The 19,965-nt window shown below is 47.4% G+C and overlaps 3 annotated features.

Annotated features, from left to right (window-relative positions):
• Positions 14,935 to 15,929: an enhancer, noted in NCBI's record as "H3K27ac-H3K4me1 hESC enhancer chr19:34311239-34312233 (GRCh37/hg19 assembly coordinates)". NCBI's record gives its function as "activates a minimal SCP1, AML or CMV promoter by ChIP-STARR-seq in naive H9 embryonic stem cells {active_cell/tissue: H9 hESC(naive)}" and the evidence as "EXISTENCE:reporter gene assay evidence [ECO:0000049][PMID:30033119]".
• Positions 14,935 to 16,007: a biological region, named in NCBI's record as "H3K27ac-H3K4me1 hESC enhancer GRCh37_chr19:34311239-34312233".
• Positions 15,808 to 16,007: an enhancer, noted in NCBI's record as "active region_14447". NCBI's record gives its function as "activates an Ori minimal core promoter by ATAC-STARR-seq in GM12878 lymphoblastoid cells {active_cell/tissue: GM12878}" and the evidence as "EXISTENCE:reporter gene assay evidence [ECO:0000049][PMID:35858748]".

The following is a 19,965-nucleotide window of genomic DNA, read 5'->3' as shown; positions in this document are numbered from 1 at the left end:
CAATTCCTAGCGTACCAAGAGTTGTTATCATGAATGGGTGCTGAATTTTTCAAATGCTTTGTCAAATGCATCAGTTGACATAATCATATGATTTTCTTCTTTAGCCTATTTATCTGGTGGATGACATTGATTGATTTTTGAATAGTGAACCAACCTTGCATACCTGTAAAAAATTCCACTTGGTTGTTGTGTATTATTCTTTTTATACATTGTTGAATTCAATTGCTAAAATTTTGTCGAGAATGTCTCTAAGTTCATAAGACATATTAGTCCGTAGTTTTCTTTTTTTTTCTCTTTTGAGACAGAGTCTCGCTCTGTTGCCCAGGCTGGAGTGTGGTGGTATGATCTCGGCTCACTGCAACCTCTGCCTCCTGGGCTCAAGCAATTCTCCTGCCTCAGCCTCCTGAGTAGCTGGGGTTACAGGCACAAGGCACCACACCTGGCTGATTTTTGTATTTTTTGTAGACACAGGGTTTCACCATGTTGGCCAGGCTAGTCTCAAACTCCCTACCTCAGGTGATCCGCCCACCTCAGCCTCCCACAATGCTGCGATTACAGGTGTGAGCAACCGCTCCCAGCCTTGTAGTTTTCTTTTTTGTCAAAATTTGGTATCAGGGTAATTCTGGCCTCAATAAAATGAGTTTGGAAGTGTTCACTCCTCTTCTGCTTTCTGAAAGACATTGTGCAAAATTGATGTTCATGAATCTTTTGAAACATTCATTTTTGAATGTTTGGTACAAGTCTCTAATGAAACATTCTGGTCATAGAGATTCCTTTTTCAGGAGTTTTATAATTATAAATTCAATTTCTTTAACAGTTATAGAATAATTCAGGTTATCTATTTCATCTTGGCCCAGTTTTGTGGTTTTTGAGGAATAACCTTATTTCTTCTAAGTTGTTGAATTTATGAGTGTAAAGTTATTTATAGTATCCCATTAGTATCTATTTAATGGCTGCAGGATCGATTGCAATATCATCCGTTTCAGTCTTGATATTGATGATGTGTGTCTTCTCCCTTTTTCTCTCTGTCAATCTTGCAAGAGTTTTATATATTTTGTTGATCTTTATGAAGAGCCAGATTTTGGTTTAATTTTCTCTATTGTTTTTTTAATTTTGTTGATTTCTGCTCTTGTGTTTATTGTTTCCTTCCTTCTACTTGCTTTGGGATTAATTTGCTCTTCTTTTTCTACGTTATTGAGAAGGAAGCTTAAATGATTGATTTGAGATTTTTTCCTTTTTTCTAACATAAGACTTAAATGTTCCAACCTCCTTCTGTTACCATCTTCTTTCTGTTTAGGGAGCTTCCTCTAAGGATAGATCCACTAACAACAATTCTCTTAGTTTTCCTTTGTGTGCAAATGACTTTATTTTCCCTTTATTCCTGAAGGATGATTTCACTGGATAGAGGATTTGCAGTGGGAGGTTCTTTTCTTTCAGCAGTTAAAAAATGTTGGGCTGGCCAGGCACAGTGGCTCATGCCTGTAATCCCAGGACTTTGGGAGGCCAAGGCAGGAGGATCTCCTGAGCCCAGGAGTTCGAGACCAGCCTGGGCAATATTGTTAGACCCTGTCTCCATAAAAACCTTAAAAAATTAGCAAAGCCTGGTGGCGTGCACCTGTAGTCCCAGCTACTTGGGAGGCTGAGGTCGGAGGATCACTTGATCCCAGAAGGCAGAGGCTGCAGTAAGCAAGATTGCACAACTGCACTCCAGCCTGGGTGACAAAGTGAGACCCTGTCTCAAAAAAAAAAAAAAAAAAAAAAAGTTGGGCCACTTCTTTCTGGCCTCCGTGGTTTCCGGTGGGAAATTCATTATCATTTGAATTGATATTCATTTATAGGGAACACATTGTTTGCCTGGCTAGTTTTAAGATTTTTGTCTTTGTTTTTAGTTTTCAGAATTTGATTATGATATATCTTGGGGTGGATTTCTTTTCGTATTTCTTTTAATACTTTTTTAGTCCACACTCTCTTTTCTCATTCTGGGATTTGGATTATATACAAAAACATTATATCTTTTGTTACTGCCCCACAGAACACTGAAGCTCTTTTTCCTTTTTTCAGTCTGTTTTCTTTCTGTTGTTTAGTTGGAGTACATCCTATTGATCTGTTGCAAGTTTATCGTTTCTATCTTGTGTCATCTCCTTTATACTATTGAGTCCATCTAGTACATTTTTAAAAATTTCAGTTATTGTATTTTTCAGTTTTATAAGATCCATTTGGTTCTTTGTTTAAATTACTGCTCTTTCTTTGCCGAGAATTTTAAACATTTTTTTTATTATAAGTGTTTTTTTCATTATAAGTGTTTGTTGAGGCATTTTTATGAGGCTGCTTTAAAATTCTTGTCAGGTAATTTCAACATCTGATTTATCTGGGTTTTGGAGGCAGTTTGTCTTTTCTCATTCGAACTGTGGTTCTTTGGGATGATGAGTGTTTTGCAATTGTATTCTGGACACTGGATATTATGTTAGCACACGCTTGATCCTATTTAAATCTGTTTTAGGGCTGCATGCGTTGTCTCACACCTATAATCCCAGAACTTTGGGAGGCTGAGGTGGGAGGATTACTTGAGCCCAGGAGTTTGAGACCAACCTGGGCAACATAGCGAGACCCTGTCTCTACAAATAATAATATGACAAAAATTAGCCAAGCATGGTGGTGTGCACCTGTGGTCTCAGCTACTCGGGAGGCTGAGGCAGGAGGATTACTTGAGCTAAGGGGGTTGAGGCTGCAGTGGGCTGTGATTGCACCACTGCACTGCAGCCTGATGACAGAACAAGTCTGCCTTTTTTAAAAAATTGTTTTTTAATATGTTTTAGCAGGCAGTCACTCTATTTAGCTTTAGTATATAGGTTCTGACATATATTTGTAGGCATTAGTTCCAGGGACAGTTTGGTCATCATCAGAACACTTTCTTTCTGGTTTTTTTTTTTTTTTTTTAGATGGAGTTTCACTCTTGTTGCCCAGGCTGGAGTGCAATGACGCAATCTCAGCTCACTGCAATCTCTGTCTCCCAGGTTCAAGCGATCCTCCTGCCTCAGCCTCCCAAGTAGCTGGGATTACAGTCATGCAGCACCACGCCTGGCTAATTTTGTATTTTTAGTAGAGACGGGGTTTCTCCATGTTGGTCAGGCTGGTCTTGAACTCCCGACCTCAGGTGATCCACCCACCTCAGCCTCCCAAAGTGCTGGGATTACAGGCGTGAGCCACCACGCCCGGCCCATCAGAACACTTTCAATGTGATTTGGAACTGCTTGATTCTTCTAGCACTGCTGGGGCTACTTCTAGCCCTGCCCCATCTCTGTCGATGTCATCGTTTAAGGCAGAAGGCACTTCCCTGAGCTGCTTGGTGTTTGCGGGCTACATTCTTCTGCTAAATGGTTTAGAGGGCCTGGGTCTTCTTATGCCACTGCATGGAGGGCAGGTAGACACAGAGCTAAGCTGACGCTGCCCCTGCAGGCTGTGATTGCAGGTGGGTCAGGCTGCCTGCCAGTGCTTCCGCTGTGGAGGGGGCATGGGACTCCCCACTAGGCGTCTTTCGGGTTTTCCTTAAGTTATTCTTTGTCCATTTGTCCAGAGAGAGCAAGATTTTGTTATCTTTTTTTTTTTAAGTGCTTAATGGAATTTCTAGGTTGTGGGAATCTTCAGCACCTGGTCTAGGGTATATGGAAGATTAAAAGAAGAAGACACGGCCAAGCATGGTGGCTCACGCCTGTAATTTCAGTACTTTGAGAGGCTGAGGCAGGTGGGTCACTTGAGGTTGGGGTTCGAGACCAGTCTGGCCAACAAGGTGAAACCCCGTCTCTACTAAAAATAAAAAGAAATTAGCCGGGTATGGTGGCATGTGCCTGTAATCTCAGCTACTCTGGAGGCTGAGGCAGGAGAATCGATTGCTTGAGCCCAGGAGGTGGAGGTTGCGGTGAGCCTAGATCACACCACTGCACTCCTGCTTGGGTAACAGAGTGAGACCCTGTCTCAAAAAAAGAAAAAGAAAAAAAAAGTTTCAGGGAACTCACTGCATTATTTTTCCATAGCTAGCTCACCTTTCTCTTTGCAGCTTTAAGTCATTTTTATTGCTGTCTGTTAAATAATTCCCAGGATATTTAGTTCTGTTTAGAGGGGAGTGTTTTAATTGCCTCCTCCTCACCCCCTTGGTGGGGGAGGAGAGGAATTCCTGCCCTGGGGTTGTGGGGATGGTCAAACATACAACTGGTGAGACTGGACAGATGACATCAACAGTGAATAGTCACATATACTCATGGCCTGGGGGCAGAGAGCACCACACGCCCCACAGGGTCACATGGGTGTTGGGGACAGAAGGAGCAGCCAGGGTCTGTGGGAGGCAGGCTTTGCAGTATCAAGAGAGTGGGGTGCTCCATGGTTTCCAAGGGAGGTTGTGACTGGTCCTTTTACACAATTCCATGGGCTAACAGGGACCAAAACCCAATACTCAGGGACAAACAAGAACTGCTCCTAGTGTCCCTGATGAGGAGGGCTGTTTGGCTAGAGGACCCTATCACTGAGAGCAGAGTGAGGAGGGAAAGTTGCAGTTAGGCCACTCGAGGCCCTCCAGGTTTTACCAGATGTAAGGTAGCACATGGGAGTGAGCCTTTATACCAAAGGGAGGAGCAAGGAAAAGTACCATCTTGTTCCAGAACCAGAACTCAAGTTTTAGTTTTAAAATCCAGAAGAACTTTGTATTCTGATCCAGGCTTATTTTTATTTTTGTTTTTTTTTTTGAGACAGAGTCTCGCTCTGTCACCTAGGCTGGAGTATAGTGGCCTGATCTTGACTCACGGCAACCTCTGCCTCCCGGGTTCAGGCGATTCTCCTGCCTCAGCCTCCCAAGTAGCTGGGATTACAGGCACCCACCACCACGCCTGGCTAATTTTTGTATTTTTAGTAGAGACGGGGTTTCGCCGTGTTGGCCAGACTGGTCTCGAACTCCCAACCTTAGGTGATCCACCCGCCTCGGCCTCCCAAAGTGCTCGGATTACAGGTGTGAGTCACCGCACTTGGCCACACAATGTTTTTGAAGTTTGCCCATGTTGTAGCATGTATTAGCGCTTCATCTCTTTTCATAGCTGAATTAAATATTCCATTGTGTGGATATACCTTATGTTGTTTATCCATTCATCTTTTGATGGGGATTTGGGTTGTTCCACCTTTTGGCTATGGTGAATAACGCTGCAATGAACATTTGTGTGGAAGTATTTGAGGCCAGGTGCGGTGGCTCACACCTATAATCCCAGCACTTTGGGAGGCTGAGGTAGGCAGATCACTTGAAGTCAGGAGTTCTAGACCAGCCTGGCCAACATGGTGAAAACCTGTTTCTACTAATAATACAAAAATTAGCCAGGCACAGTGATGTACACTTGTAATCCCAGCTACTCGGGAGGCTGAGGCATGAGAATCGCTTGAACCCAGGAGGAGGAGGTTGCAGTCAGCTGAGATCGTGCCACTGCACTCCAGCCTGGGGGACAGAGTAAAACTCGGCCTCAAAAAGAAAAAAATTTGTTTCAGCACCTGTTTTCAGTTATTTTGTATGTATCTAAGAATGGAATTGCTGGGTCACATAATATGACCTTATCATTAGAAAATATCAGCCCAGCCCAAATTGAGGGACATTCTACAAAATAAGTGGCTTGTAATCATCAAAAGTGTCAAGGTCATGAAAGTCAGGGAAAGACCCAGGAACTGAAGAGATGTGACTGCTAAATGTGTTGATCCTGGGCTGGATGCTTTGCTACTAAGGATGATACCAGGGCAATTGGTAAAATCTGTATGGGTCGGAAGAGCAGGTGTTAGTAATGCAGTTGTGTGGTTTCCTGGTATTGATGACTGTATGTGGTTACGGAGGGGAATATCCTTGTTTGTAGAAAACACAAGCTATTTTGGGGGTGAAGGGGCATCATGTCAGTAACAATATGAAATGGTTCATCAAAAAATAGTATTGGGCTGGGTGCAGTGGCTCACGCCTGTAGTCTTAGCACTTTAGGAGGCCAAGGCAGGAGGCTTGCTTGAGCCCAGGAGTTTGAGACCAGCATGGGTGACAGAGCGAGACTCCATCTCAAAAAAAGAAAAAAAAAAGAAGTTTTGCTTCCTCCAATATTGATAATAAAAAATCACAATTTTGGATCAATCACTCTAGAGGAAATGCAAAATTGCTTTTCTATTCTCTCTATAAAAACATATATTATTGTTGCTATTTGAAGAAGTGATCAGGGTAGACAGCTAAATTATGTAGGAAGCGTGTTACATCAGCCAGTTGATTAATAATATAGGAATGAAATACTAATATGGTATTGTTCTGAATTTTGTGATGTTCATAGTATTTTATTATTTTATTTTTTAGAGCTAGAGTCCTGCTGTGTCACCTAGGCTAGAGTGCAGTGGCATGATCAACAATTCACTGCAGCCTTGACCTTCTGGGCTCAAGGGATCTTCCCTACTTGGCCTCCAGAATAGCTGGGACTACAGGCATGCACCACCATTTCTAGCTAAATTTTGCTACGTTGCCCAGGCTGGTCTTGAACTCCTGGGCTCAACAATCCTCCTGCCTTGGCCTCCCAAAGTGCTGGGATTACAGGCATGAGCCACCATGCCTGGCCATTTTGTGGTATTTTAAATTTGTATTATGTTGTGACTTTTCTCATTCTAAATAAATACTTTTGTTCATGGTAAAACCAAACAAAACAGTTTTGTACTGTCCTTGCAAATTTTTTTGGTAAATTTGTGATTGTTTCAAAATACACCAAAATTAATTAAAAATATTTTATCAGATAATTTTCCATCAAGTGTGGTCCATTCTTGCTTCCATTTCTCTCCTGTTCTCTCTTTCCTCCCACCCTGCGGTCACTCCTTCTCCAAACCCTCTGCTGCACCCTTCTTCCCTCTCCCAGCTTCCAAACACCGAGTGCCCGGGGCTCATCCTGGAAACCTCTTCTTTTTTTTTTTTTTTAATGTGTGTGTGTGTGTGTGTGTGTGTGTGTGTGTTTTGAGATGGAGTCTTGCTGTGCTGCTCAGGCTGGAGTGCACTGGTACGATCTCGGCTCACTGCAGCCTCCGCCTCCTAGGTTCAAGAGATTCTCCTGCCTCAGCCTCTTACGTAGCTGGGATTACAGGTGCCCGCCACCATGGCAAGCTAATTTTTGCATTTTTAGTAGAGACAGGGTTTCACCATGTTGGTCAGGCTGGTCTCGAACTCCTGACCTCAAGACATCTGCCCGCCTCATCCTCCCAAAGTGCTGGGATTATAGGCGTGAGCCACCGCGCCCAGCCAGTCTCTTCTCTTTTGACACTTACTGCCTTGGAGACCTTATCCAGTCTTGGCTTTGAATGCTGTCTAACTTGTGAGGACCCTCCAACGTACACCTGCAGCCTGGACTCCCTCCTGAGTTCCCAAGTACCTGCCTGTCTCCCAGCCCAGCTTTGTCAGTCCTGTGCTTAACAGGCATCTCAACAGCCTGCCCCATCTGCCCAACACCATCAATCTTCTCATCCCAGCAAAAGGCAACTCCATCCTTCCTTTGCTCAGGCCAACCCCCTTGTAGCCACCCTAGACACCTCACTGCCTCCCACATTTCACATCTAAGCAGGCATCAAGTTATGTTGGCTCCTCCTTCCAAGTGTACCCAGGATGGAACTGCCTCTCCCTACTCCCACGTCTCTCACCCTGCTCCAGGCCACCTTCAGCTCGCTCTGAAGGATCATGGTCGCATCCAACTGGTTTCCCTGCTCCTCCCCAGCCCCCTTCAGTCTATTTCCCTCCTCTGCTCACCACTGGGCAGTGGCCACTGCTCTCAAGCTCAGGAAAAGCCCAAGTCCTGGCCTGGCGCAGTGGCTCACGCCTGTAATCCCAGCGCTTTGGGAGGCCAGGAGTTCCAGACCATCCTGGCTAACACGGTGAAACTCCATCTCTACTAAAAATACAAGTAATTAGCCAGGCATGCTGGCATGTGCCTGTAGTCCCAGCTACTGGGGAGGCTGAGGCAGGAGAATCAGTTGAACCCGGGAGGCAGAGGTTGCAGTGAGCCGAGATCATGCCACTGCACTCCAGCCTGGGAGACAGAGCGAGACTCCGTCTCAAAATAAAAATAAAAATAGAAGCCCAAGTCCCAATCACGGTTCATGGCAGTGTTTTAGATTGGGATGCTCCAGAAGCTGATGCCGAGACAAGACCTTGAACGCAGCATTCACTGGGAGGTGATTCCTGGTATATAGGAAGAGAGAGAGGGAAGTAAGACAGGGCAAGGAAGGAAGCCAAGAGAGGGAAGGCTAGTAAGGGAGCTACTTGTCTGGGCACGGCAGCTCATGCCTGTAATCCCAGCGCTTTGGGAGGCTGAAGTGGGAGGACCACTTGAGGCCAGGAGTTTGAGACCAGCCTGGGCAACATAGAAAGGCACCTCCACCTCTGCAAAAATAAAAATTGGCCAGGCACAATGGCTCATGCCTGTAATCCCAGCACTTTGGGAGGCAGAGGCTGACAGATCACTTGAGGTCAGGAGTTTGAGATGAGCCTGGTCAATGAGTAGAGATGGCAAAACTCCATCTCTACTAAAAATACAAAAATTAGCCGGGTGTGGTGGTGCACATCTGTAATCCCAGCTACTTGAGAAGCTGAGACACGAGAATCGTTTGAACCCGGGAGGTGGAGGTTGCAGTGAGCTGAGATCGTGCCACTGTATTCTAGCCTGGGCAACAGAGCAAGACTAGGTCTCAATAAATAAATAAATAAATAAATAAATAAATAAATAAATAAATAAATATAAAAAATTACCCAGGCATTGTGGCATGTGCCTGCAGTTCTAGCTGCTAGGGAAGCTGAGGTGGGAGGATCGCTTGAGGCCAGGAGTTTAGCTTTACAGTGTGCTATGATCTACCACTGCACCCCAGCCTGGGCAACAGAGCAAGACCCTGGCCCTTAAAAAGTAACAAATGAGGCAGGGCATGGTAGCTCACGCCTCTAATCCCAGCACTTTGGGAGGCCGAGGCAGACGGATCACCTGAGGTCAGGAGTTTGGGACCAGCCTGGCCAACATGGTGAAACCCCATCTTTACTAAAAATACAGAAATTAGCCAGACATGGTGGCGCATGCCTGTAATCCCAGCTACTTGGGAGGCTGAGGCAGGAGACTCATTTATACCTGGGAGGCAGGGGTTGCAGTGAGCCAAGATCATGCCGTTGCACTCTAACCCCACTGGAGGCCCCTGAGAGAGCCTAGAGCAGACCTCCCCATTGTCAGACGCAAAAGGCAAGACACCTGGGTGTTTATTTGCCATCTCCACAATAGTAGAGAGCTAAGGGGGCATTGACTTCCTGGCCTGCCCCACGCATGAGGAGCTGTTGCACTCCTCACCAACAAAGACCCTCAGGCAGAGAGCTACAGGAGCAGTAGGAAGCCATAGGGTCTGTGTGCACCTGAAGGCAAGTGCTAAGGGGAAATGGGTGGAGTACAGGCAACACGTTTTTCAAAGACCCTACATGATCTGACTTCCCTCCTACCCCAGGCACCCCTGCGACCTCACCTTCTGCAACTCCCCAGCCCCTCACACTCCAGCCACATAACCTCCTTCTTGCGTTTCTGAGACACATCATGCACACTCCTACCTCGAGGCCTTTGCCTTGCAGCCCCTTTGCCCCAAATGCTCTTCTGCCAGAAATCTGCATTTCTCCCGCCTTACCTTCTTCTTTTTTGCCGGGGGCAGGGATGGAGTCTCGCTCAGTCACCCAGGCTGGAGTGCAGTGACGCCATCTTGGCTCACTGCAACCTCTGCCTCCGGGGCTCAAATGATTCTCCTGCCTCAGCCTCCCGAGCAGCTGGGACTACAGGTGCAAGCCACCATGCCTGGCTAATTTTTGTATTTTTATTTTATTTTGTTTTGTGATGGACTCTCGCTCTGTCGCCCAGGCTGGAGTGCAGTGGTGCCATCTTGGCTCACTGCAACCTCTGCCTCACAGGTTCAAGCAATTCTCCTGTCTCAGCCTCCTAAGTAGCTGGGACGACAGGCGCAGGCCACCACGCCCAGCTAATTTTTGTATTTTTAGTAGAGATAGGTTTTCACCATATTGGTCAGGCTGGTCTTGAACTCCTGACCTCAGGTGATTTACTTACCTCGGCCTCCCAAAGTGCCGGATTACAGGCGTGAGCCATCCCGCCCAGCCTCCTGCCTTACCTTCTTTGGGGCTTTATTTAAATTTTACATGCGGCTCAGCGAGGCCTTCCTGGTGAAAACAGACAGCACTCGCCAATTAATAAAGTACTATTGGCTGAGCATCCCTAAACTGAAAATCTGAAATCCAAAATGCTTCAAAATCTGAAACTTTTTGGGTGCCACCCTGATGTCACAAGTAGAAAATTCCACAGTTGACTTCATGTAATGGTTTGGAGCTAAAACATGAGCACACAACACACAGTTTATTCACTGTCTCCAAGGAATCAAAGACTTCCCAGCTCCCATCAGCAGCAATATGTCTTTTCCACACTCACCCAGATCCCCACATAAGCACGCCCACAAAGCGTAATAAAACAGCACGTGTTCAGGCTGGACGCACCAACGGCAGGTTCCTCACAATGTCTCACGTGGGGCCAAGACATTACTCATATATATGGTGTATGTGTATGTATGTGTATATATATGCATGATATATATATATATATATATATATATATATACCATGCATATATATATATACCATGCATATATATATATATATTTATATATATACCATGCATATATATATATACCATGCATATATATATATATATATTTATATATATACCATGCATATATATATATATATATATATATATACCATGCATATATATATATATACCATGCATATGTATATGGCTGGGCACAGTGGCTCACATCTGTAATCCCAGCACTTTGGGAGGCTGAGGTGGGTGGATCACCTGAAGTCAGGAGTTCGAGACCAGCCTGGCCAACATGGTGAAACCCCATCTCTACTAAAAGTGTAATAATTAGCCAAGCATGGTGGTGCGTGCCTGTAATCCCAGCTACTCTGGAGGCTGAAGCAGGAGAATCACTTGAACCCAGGAGGCAGAGGTTGCAGTGAGCCAAAATCGCGCCGTTGCACTCCAGCTTGGGCAACAAGAGCGAAACTCAGTCTCAATAATAATAATAAAGATTTAAAAATAGAATGTATAGTAACCTTTTAAAATTTACTTTTGTAAAATTAATTTATATTTCATCTTTTTTTCTTTACCCCATTCCTGCTGAATGCAAATATAGTAACCTTTGAATCAAAACGCAGCATCGGAGGTAAGAGACTGAAAGCTTTGCCATTGTTGGTCTCTGCTGTTTAACCACTGATGCGGTATTCCTGTGATGCTACCATGCTGCTTAGGTACCCTAAATACATTATTTTTTTCATTTTATGAATGGTATACCAAATTTTTTACTGTTAAGTACTTATGTGTAAATAGGTGCAAGAAATGGATTACTTATTGATAGCATATAAATTCAGAGTCAGGAATGGCCGGGCACGGTGGCTCATGCCTGTAATCCCAGCACTTTAGGACGCTGAGGCAGGCAGATCACTTGAGGCCAGGAGTTCAAGACCAACCTGGCCAACATGGTGAAACCCTGTCTGTACTAAAAATACAAAAATTAGCTGGGTGTGGTGGCGCATGCCTGTAATCCCAGCTACTCGGGAGGCTGAGGCAGGAGAATCGCTTGAACCCAGGAGGTGGAGGCTGCAGTGAGCCAAGATGGCACCACTGCACTCCAGCCTGGGTGATAGAGTGAGACTTGGTCTAAAAGAAAAAAAAAGGAATGTTGGTGATGCCAACCCACCACAGATTGTCCACCCGGATGGCTGAGATAGGGACACCTTTGCTTTCTGCTGCTCCATGTGCACAAACTTTGTTTCATGCACAAAATTATTTAGACTATTCTATATGATTACCTTCCAGCTGTGTGTATAAGATGTATATAAAAGAGATAAATTTTGTGTTTAGACTTGGGTCCTATCCCCAAGAAATCTCATTACATATAAATTTACAAATATTCCAAAATTTAAAAAAAGCAAAATCCAAAACACTTCTGGTCCCGAGCATTTCCAGATGAGGGATACTCAACCTGTATTTACAAAGGTGAGGGCAGGGTATATAGAAATCAGGGGTAATGAGTCCTCTCAGGGGTAGTATAGCCAACCATAGTTACCATCCCTAGGCTGGAAGGGGAGAATGGAGAGGTATTCTCAGAGCCAGGTGGGCTGTGTGAGAAAAGCCTCTGGCAGGGGCTGAAGTCTTTGTTATTTATTTATTTTATGTTCTTTTTTTTTTTTTTTTTTTTAGAACCAGGGTCTCGCTCTGTTGCCCAGGCAGTGGGCATGCAGTGGCATGATCATAGCTCACTGCAGCATCAAACTCCTGGGCTCAAGGGATCCTCCTGCCTCAGCCTCCCAAGTAGCTGGGACTACAGGTATATGTCACCATACCCGTTAAGAAATATTTCTTTATTTTTTTTTAAATAGAGACAGGTTCTTGCTATATTGCCCATGATGGTCTCCAACTTCTGGACTCAAGCAATCCTTCCACCTTGGCCTCCCAAAGTGCTGGGATTACAGGCAATAAGCCACTGGGCCTGGCCCAGGGCTGAGGTCTTTAGATGAGTGATGAGAGAGGCTGACTTGCCTTCTGCCCTCCAGTCTCCTGAAGATGCTTCCCATCAGCCATGCCCAACAGGAAGCCAGAGGGTAAGGGAGCCCCTTCACACTGTTCACAATGTCAGCTTCCAGGCCCAGGGCAGGGGGCAGGGTAAATGGGAGATGTCCAGCATACTGTCCAAAATAGCAACACACACACTCCTATTCCCCTTCCTTGCTTTATTTTTAGCACTATTTAACCTATGACACATTTTACTTATTTTTGTTATTGGGTTTTTGTTGTTTATTTTTTGTTTTTCTTTTTTGAGACAGGGTCTTGCTCTGTCACCCAGGCTGGAGTTCAGTGGCGTGATCATAGCTCACTGCAGCTTCAACAGCCTCAAGCAATCCTCTCACTTCAGCCTCTGGATTAGCTGAGACCACAGGTGCATGCCACCACACCTGGCAAATTTTTTTTTTTTTTTTTTTTTTTTTGGAGAGATGAGGTTTCCCTATGTTGCCCAGGCTGGTCTCAAACTCCTGGGCTCAAGCGATCCTCCCACCTGGGCCTCTCAAAGTGCTGGGATTATAGGTGTGACCCACCGCACCCAGCCTTACTTTTGTTTCTTGTCCATCTCTCTTCACTGGAGTGTAAGCTCCACAAGATTGGGGCTTTTCTGTATTCATTCACTACTATATCCTAGTGCCTGAAAGAGGGCATGTGTTCAATAACAATTGTTTGAGTAGATAAAGTTGCTACCTAGATGTGGCAGGCAGAATAATGCCACCAAATATGTCCACATCCTAAACCTGGGATCTGTGAGTATCTTAGGTTATGTGGCAAAGGGGTTTAAGATTGCCAATGGAATTAAGGTGAATTAGTAGACCTTAAAATAGGGAGATTATCTGCAGGGTGGAGGGTGGGCAATGGAATCACTAGAGTCCAGAAAAACAAGGGTGAGGGGATCTAAAGATGCTACACTTCTGGTTTTGGGGATGAAGGAAGGGACCACAAGCTACAGAATGAAGGCAGCCTCTAGAAGCTGGAAAGGACAAGGAAAGATTCTCCCCTAGAGCTCCAGAAAGGAGAGCAGCTCTGTTGACACCTTGATTTTAGCCCAGTGTGACCCATGTCAGACTTCTGACATCTGGAACTGTAAGATGAAAATATATCATCTTAAAATCAGTGTTGGGCTAGGCATGGTGGCTCACACCTGTTATCCCAGCACTTTGAGAGGCCAAGGTGGGAGGATCGCTTGAGTCCAGGAGTTCAAGACCAGCCTGGGCATCATAGGGAGACCTGTCTCTACAAAAAGAAAAAGAAAAAAAAATAGTATTTTTCTAAGCCACATTAGTGGTAACTTGTCATAGCCACAAGAGGAAACCAATACACTGATCTCTGTTCTTAATCCAGGAGCACAGGCTCTGGAGCCAGTTGAGGCTGCTTTTTGGCTCTTCCTTAGGGAGAGAGCTTGCACCTTCTTTTTCTGTGTAAATGAAACTATTAAATATTGTTTCTTCCTGGGGAGGGTGGGAAGTGGGTGGTGTTAGATGTCAGGGTTTGGAGAGCTGGTGATTCATGGGACACTCACGACTCAGAGCCTGGCCTCCAGTAACCAGGCTGATTGTAGACACTCAGTAGATATTTGTGGAAGGATAAATGTATTTCATCAACTGATGTTCCATAATCGATTTCATCTCTCCTGGTTTTAGGACACTAAGGGGCCCCCTTCCTTTCTTTGCCAATAGTAAATACAATTTGAGAATCTGTGCATACAGGGGTGCTTTTGTTTTTGTTTTGAAATTAGTTTTCTGGCTGGGTGCCGTGGTTCACACCTGTAATCTCAGCACTTTGGGAAGCCAAGGAGGGTAGATCACTTGAGGTCAGGAGTTCAAGACCAGCCTGTCCAACATGGTGAAACCCCATCTGTACTAAAAACACAAAAATTCATGCTCACTTCAGCAGCACATATACTAAAAACACAAAAATTAACTAGGCGTGGTTGTGGGCGCCTGTAATCCCAGCTACTCGGGAGGCTGAGGCAGGAGAATCACTTGAACCTGGGAGGTGGAGGTTGCAGTGAGCCAAGATCACACCAATGCACTCCAGCCTGGGTGGCAGAGCAAGACTCCATCTCAAAAATAAATAAATAAATAAATAAATAAATAAATAAATAAATAAATAAAATAATTAGTCTTCTATTTCTTCAAAGCAAGAGCCTCGCCAGGCTGCAAGGCTGGTGCTCTCCACACATGTAGTGTGTATGGTAGTCAGCTGCCTTCTGTGCAGGGCTGCTCACTCACCCGGCAGCTGGGCACTCCTTGGCACAGGAGCCCCCCACGTGGCTAGCCAGGCTGGGGCTGGAAGGTGGGAGTGGAGAGGAGGCAAACTAGAGGCTGTGTGGGAAGGTGCTTTGATGAATTCCCTCCCTGGGCTGGGCTTCTACACGGGTTCCTCCACCTGGGCATGGGAACTGGGGGAGGCTAAAGGGAGGGAGAAGGAGGAGTGCCAGTGGTGGTGCCGGAAGCCTCTCCCTGATGCAAGAGAAGCCTTGAGGCCAGTTCAGCAACTCAGAGCGGTGCTGGCCAGGGCGAGAGCATCGAAACCTCCCTCCCTCCCTCCTGATGCGCGTTCAGGATCTGCAGTCCGGAGGCTGCACACCACAACCTATGCAGGGCAGTGTGGGTTTCCCCAGACGTCTGGGGAGGTGGGAGAGCCTGGGCCTTGAGAGGGCAGGGAACTGAGGAAGCAAAAAAGCAGCTGCAGCCTTCTGCAGCCCGCTCTCCAGGTGGCACCCAAGCCCACCTCTGTGCTCCTGGGAGCTTGGTGCCCCTAAAACCCTCAAGGTTGCAACTCAGAGAGGATTGGGAAGCAAAGCCAGCAGGAGAACAAAGGATGCTTTGCCGGAAAGGGAGGCACCTTCCACGAAGGCCTCCGGGGCCTGGGGAAGTGACTCACTGGGCCCGGGGATGGACCCACCCATGGGGGCTCCGCGGGCCCACAATAGACCCATAGGATAGGAAAGGCACTGTCAGCCTCCGGCCTCTGGCGGGCGCCTCCCAGCCCACCCCCGCGAGATCTGGTCTGCGTCCAGCCCGGGGCCCCTGGGGATAGGCCCTGTTCTCGTTAGGCTCTGCCAGTCGGGACCGCCACCGCCGCTGCTGCCACCTGGGGCTGTGGGCGCGGCCCCTTCCGCCAGCCCTCCCTCCCCTTGGCCCTGCGGGGACCCGGGCTCCCCAGTTCTCGGCAGAGCCACACTACTCCTCTGCCAGAGCGAGGCCATCGATGTCACCCGAAGGTGGCGTCAGGCTCTGTCCCGAGGCTCCCCGGAGGCCTGTGATGGGGACTTGGAGAGAGCCCTCGTTGCGAGCCCCGGCTTCCCGGGCAGTTGCACAACCTCCCCCAATTATGCTCCGTGCAGTGTGTGGCAACCGGGCGAGAATTCCAGGGCCTTGTACCTACTCGTACCAATCTGCCTTCCCGCTGTTTGGCTGCAGGGCCAGGCGTGGCTCTGTGGGCCCGGGGAAATGGGGGTGTGTCCGCGTCCAGGAGGGCGTGGCCCGCGTCAGCCCCGGGAGCAGCAGCCCGGCCCTGCTGGTGCAATCGGCTCGCCCCAAACCGCAGCTTCCTCGGGGGCCCTGAACCGGGTCCAGGACACAGAAAAGGGAGCTCTGGTGACATCCTAGACACGGGCTTTGAGCAGCAGGCCTGGCCCAGCTACGGCTGGTGACGCCGTCCAGCCAGGGATGCGCGGCCTGGGTTCTCCCGCGGGCAGGACGGGAGGCCTCCCGGGCCCCAGCGTGGCTTGGGCGTCCCTGCCCCTCCCAGGCTCTGCTTTTTAAGACTTTGGCCTGGTTTGTGATTTCTGTGTTAAGAAGGATCCTAGGAGGAGGCCCTGAAGACCTAGCTCTTATTCCACGGCCATGGCTCCGGGTCCAGGAACAGCATTGTCCTGTGGGGCCTGGGCGCTGTCGGGACTGGCTGTTCTGTGTAATGGAAATAAAGACAAAACCCCAAATGCAGCTGACCCCTAACCCCTCTCCTTTGTGTGTCCCCGGGAGTGTGCCTGCCTCTTTCTCTGGGTCTCTCATTAGAATTTCACAGAAGCTTCCTTTGCTATGGAGACGCTAGTCTTGAGGCCTGAGAGGTGGTTCTCTCTACATGCAAATCAATGCATTTGGGGTAATCCATGTTCAGTGTCATGACGAAGTGGAAAACTGCAATGTGGTCTCTCTTCCTGTTAAATTTACAGAGCTTCAAGTACACAATTGAAAGTAAACAATTCCTGGCTGGGCGCAATGGCTCACACCTGTAATCCCAGCATTTTGGGAGGCCAAGGTGGGAGGATCACTTGAGGCCAGGAGTTCAAGACCAGCCTGGCCAACAAAGCAAAACCCCGCCTCTACTAAAAATACAGTAATTAGCTGGGCGTGGTGGTGCACACCTGTAATCCCAGCTACTCGGGAGACTGAGGCACAAGAATCGCTTGAACCCAGGAGGCAGAGGTTGCAGTAAGCCAAGACTGCACCACTGCACTCCAGCCTGGGCAACGGAGTGAGACCCTGTCTCACAAAAAAAAAAAAAAAGGAGAAGAAAAAAAGTGAACAATTCCTGTGCATAAACAAATGTCTGCTCCAAGCCTCATGAGCTATCTTGCCCTCCCAAGCACCTGCAGTGCTTGGCATATGCTGGCCACCAATAAGTGGTGCTCTTGGGTGGTTGTGAAGATAAGGATCTTTGCAGGGAAGCAGGGACCCTTTAAAAATCAACATCCAAAGCCTCAACAGATACATCAGCGCCCCTTTCCAAATCATGACTTTTCCTCAAAAAGCAAAAACTCTACTCAACATATCCTTCCACTGGGGGTGGAGATAAAAACACAGAAAGTTCTCTTTCCCTGAGGGTAAACAGCTACCAACAGTCAGTCATGCCTGGATGCACAACCTCAGGGGTGGGCCCCTCCTGGATGCACAACCTCAGGGGTGGGCCCCTCCCCAGGAACGAGCCCCCAACTCTGCCTGCAGTTCCTAGGTCTGCAGAGGTCACCATGGGCCTGGCAGGGCTCTGCTTGTCTAGCTTTGGGGCTTGCAGGAAGAGAGCTCCTGAACCAGATCCAGGGATTAGCCTGGGATGTGGCGGGGTAGGCTTCTCTGGGGCTGGGGTTTCCCTTCCAATGAAAGCTCACAGAGAAATGTCCCTGGGCTTACAGAGGCCATGGCTGCGAGAACTCGCTGGTTGTGAGATCCAGAAAGAGCAGAGACGCGCTCTTCTTTTCTGACTTTCAACCTTCCCTGGGGTTGTGTTCCATTTGGGTCACCTTAGAAAACTCTGGTGCTTCTAAGAGAACATCAGCGCTAGTCTTGGTGCTGGCAGGAAGCTGCCCTTAGCTGTCACCAACACTTTTTTCTTTCTGTTAGTCCACAAAGCATTACCTTACCTCACCGGTCCTCCAGAGAACATCGGGGCTGCCTAGAATGTGGTGACAGGAGTGAACTCTTAATGGAAAGGGGTTCTGGAGGGAATGTTTCTGTGCCTCTCTGCCCTAGTTGGTGAATTTAGCAGTTTAACCTAAATACAGTTGTTCCTGGATAGACCTTCCTCCAAGCAGGTGCTCTAGACCATCTTTTGTCTCGGGCTTTATGTTGGACGTTAGAGCTTTATCTTTGTGATGCCTTTGTAGGTTTCTCTGGATACTGACAAGAAACTTCATTTGATCTAATGAGAAACTTCTCACTAATAAAGGCAGGAGCTGCTTTTGACACATATGCATTAATATCATCTTTCTATTCTTACCATTTTTTTTTCCTGTTTTTGAGAAGGAGTCTCACTCTGTCACCCAGGCTGGAGTGCAGTGGTGAGACTTCGGCTCACTGCAACCTCTGCCTCCCAGGTTCAAGCGATTCTCCTGCCTCAGGCTCCCGAGTAGCTGGAACTACAGGCACGCACCGCCATGCCTGGCTAATTTTTGTATTTTTAGTAGAGACAGGGTTTCACCATGTTGGCCAGGCTGGTCTCGAACTCCTGACCTAAAATGATCCACCCACCTTGGCCTCCCAAAGTGCTGGGATTACAGGTGTGTGCCACTGCACCTGACCCTTTTCTTACCATTCATTCTAAGCAAATCCATTTGTAGAAAATTTTAAAATTTGTGGCAGTTAACGATGTGGGCTTTTACCCTATACAGTGACCCAGACTCTTCAGTGCAGGTAACTCCACATCAAATCTTCCATCAGAGATAAGACAGCTGCCAGCCCCTGATCTCCAGGTGAGGGCAAGCCCTCTCTCTACAAGGAAACTCCTCCTTTGGGCGGGGTTGGGGTGAGCAAAGAGAGCCACCCACATTCTCATCACACATGTGACAAGACCAATATTACTTGGCTGACTTGAGCCTTGTGGCTAAACACATTGCCTACCCCCCTTGAGATGGCCATCAACCTGTGACATCCTACTTCCTACAACAGCTACATCAGCCCAGATGTCAGACTCCATCCAGGCCAGCGGCTGCCTTCTCTGGCCATCAGTTGTCCCTCTAGCTCTGTCTAGACCTCCCTATTGTTTTGAACTGAGGCAGATTTCCTGCCTCCAACTGAATATCCCCTGGCAGTTTCCCATTTTTGTATTTTCCACCTTGTCATCTACTTAGGAGAAATTGAGTATCTTCCAGGGCCAATGCAGCCATTTTCCTGTCTCTGGAGAATCAGGAGGGAAGGCAGGGCTTGATGGGATGGGGCCATCTTGGCAGACAGCATTGCCTCGAGAACATGGGTTGGCCTCTAGGGAGGGGAAGTGGGCAGGCTCTGCTAGGCTTAGTCAAGTTAAATATTATCTTGGTCAGTGGCTCAATGGATATAGTTTCCCCATTTCTCACATCTGTGCTTCCCTTTTTTTTTAATTAATTATTTTTTTATTTTAAGATGGAGCCTCGCTCTGTCGCCAGGCTAGAGTGCAGTGGTGCGATCTCGGCTCACTGCGACTTCTGCCTCCCGGGTTCAAGCGATTCTCGTGCCCCAGCCTCCCGAGTAGCTGGGACTACAGGCACATGCCAGCACACCCAGCTAATCCTTTTTTTTTTGTATTTTTAGTAGAGACGGGGTTTTGCCATGTTGGCCAGGCTGGTCTTGAACTCATGACCTCAGGGGATCCACCCACCTTGGCCCCAAAGTGCTGGCATTACAGGTGTGAGCCACCACACCCAGCCATGCTTTCTCTTTTTAATTTTATTTATTTTGAGACGGGGCTTGCTCTGTTGTCTAGGCTGGAGTGCAGTGGTGTGAACATGGCTCACTGCAGCCTCAACCTCCTGAACTCAAGTGATCCTCCCACCTCAGCCTCCTGAGTAGCTGGGACTATAGGC

Source organism: Homo sapiens, chromosome 19 (genome assembly GCF_000001405.40).
Source record: "Homo sapiens chromosome 19, GRCh38.p14 Primary Assembly".
Lineage (NCBI taxonomy): Eukaryota > Metazoa > Chordata > Mammalia > Primates > Hominidae > Homo > Homo sapiens.
Note: the sequence above shows the minus strand (reverse complement) of the source record. Positions and strands in the feature narration are given on the sequence as shown.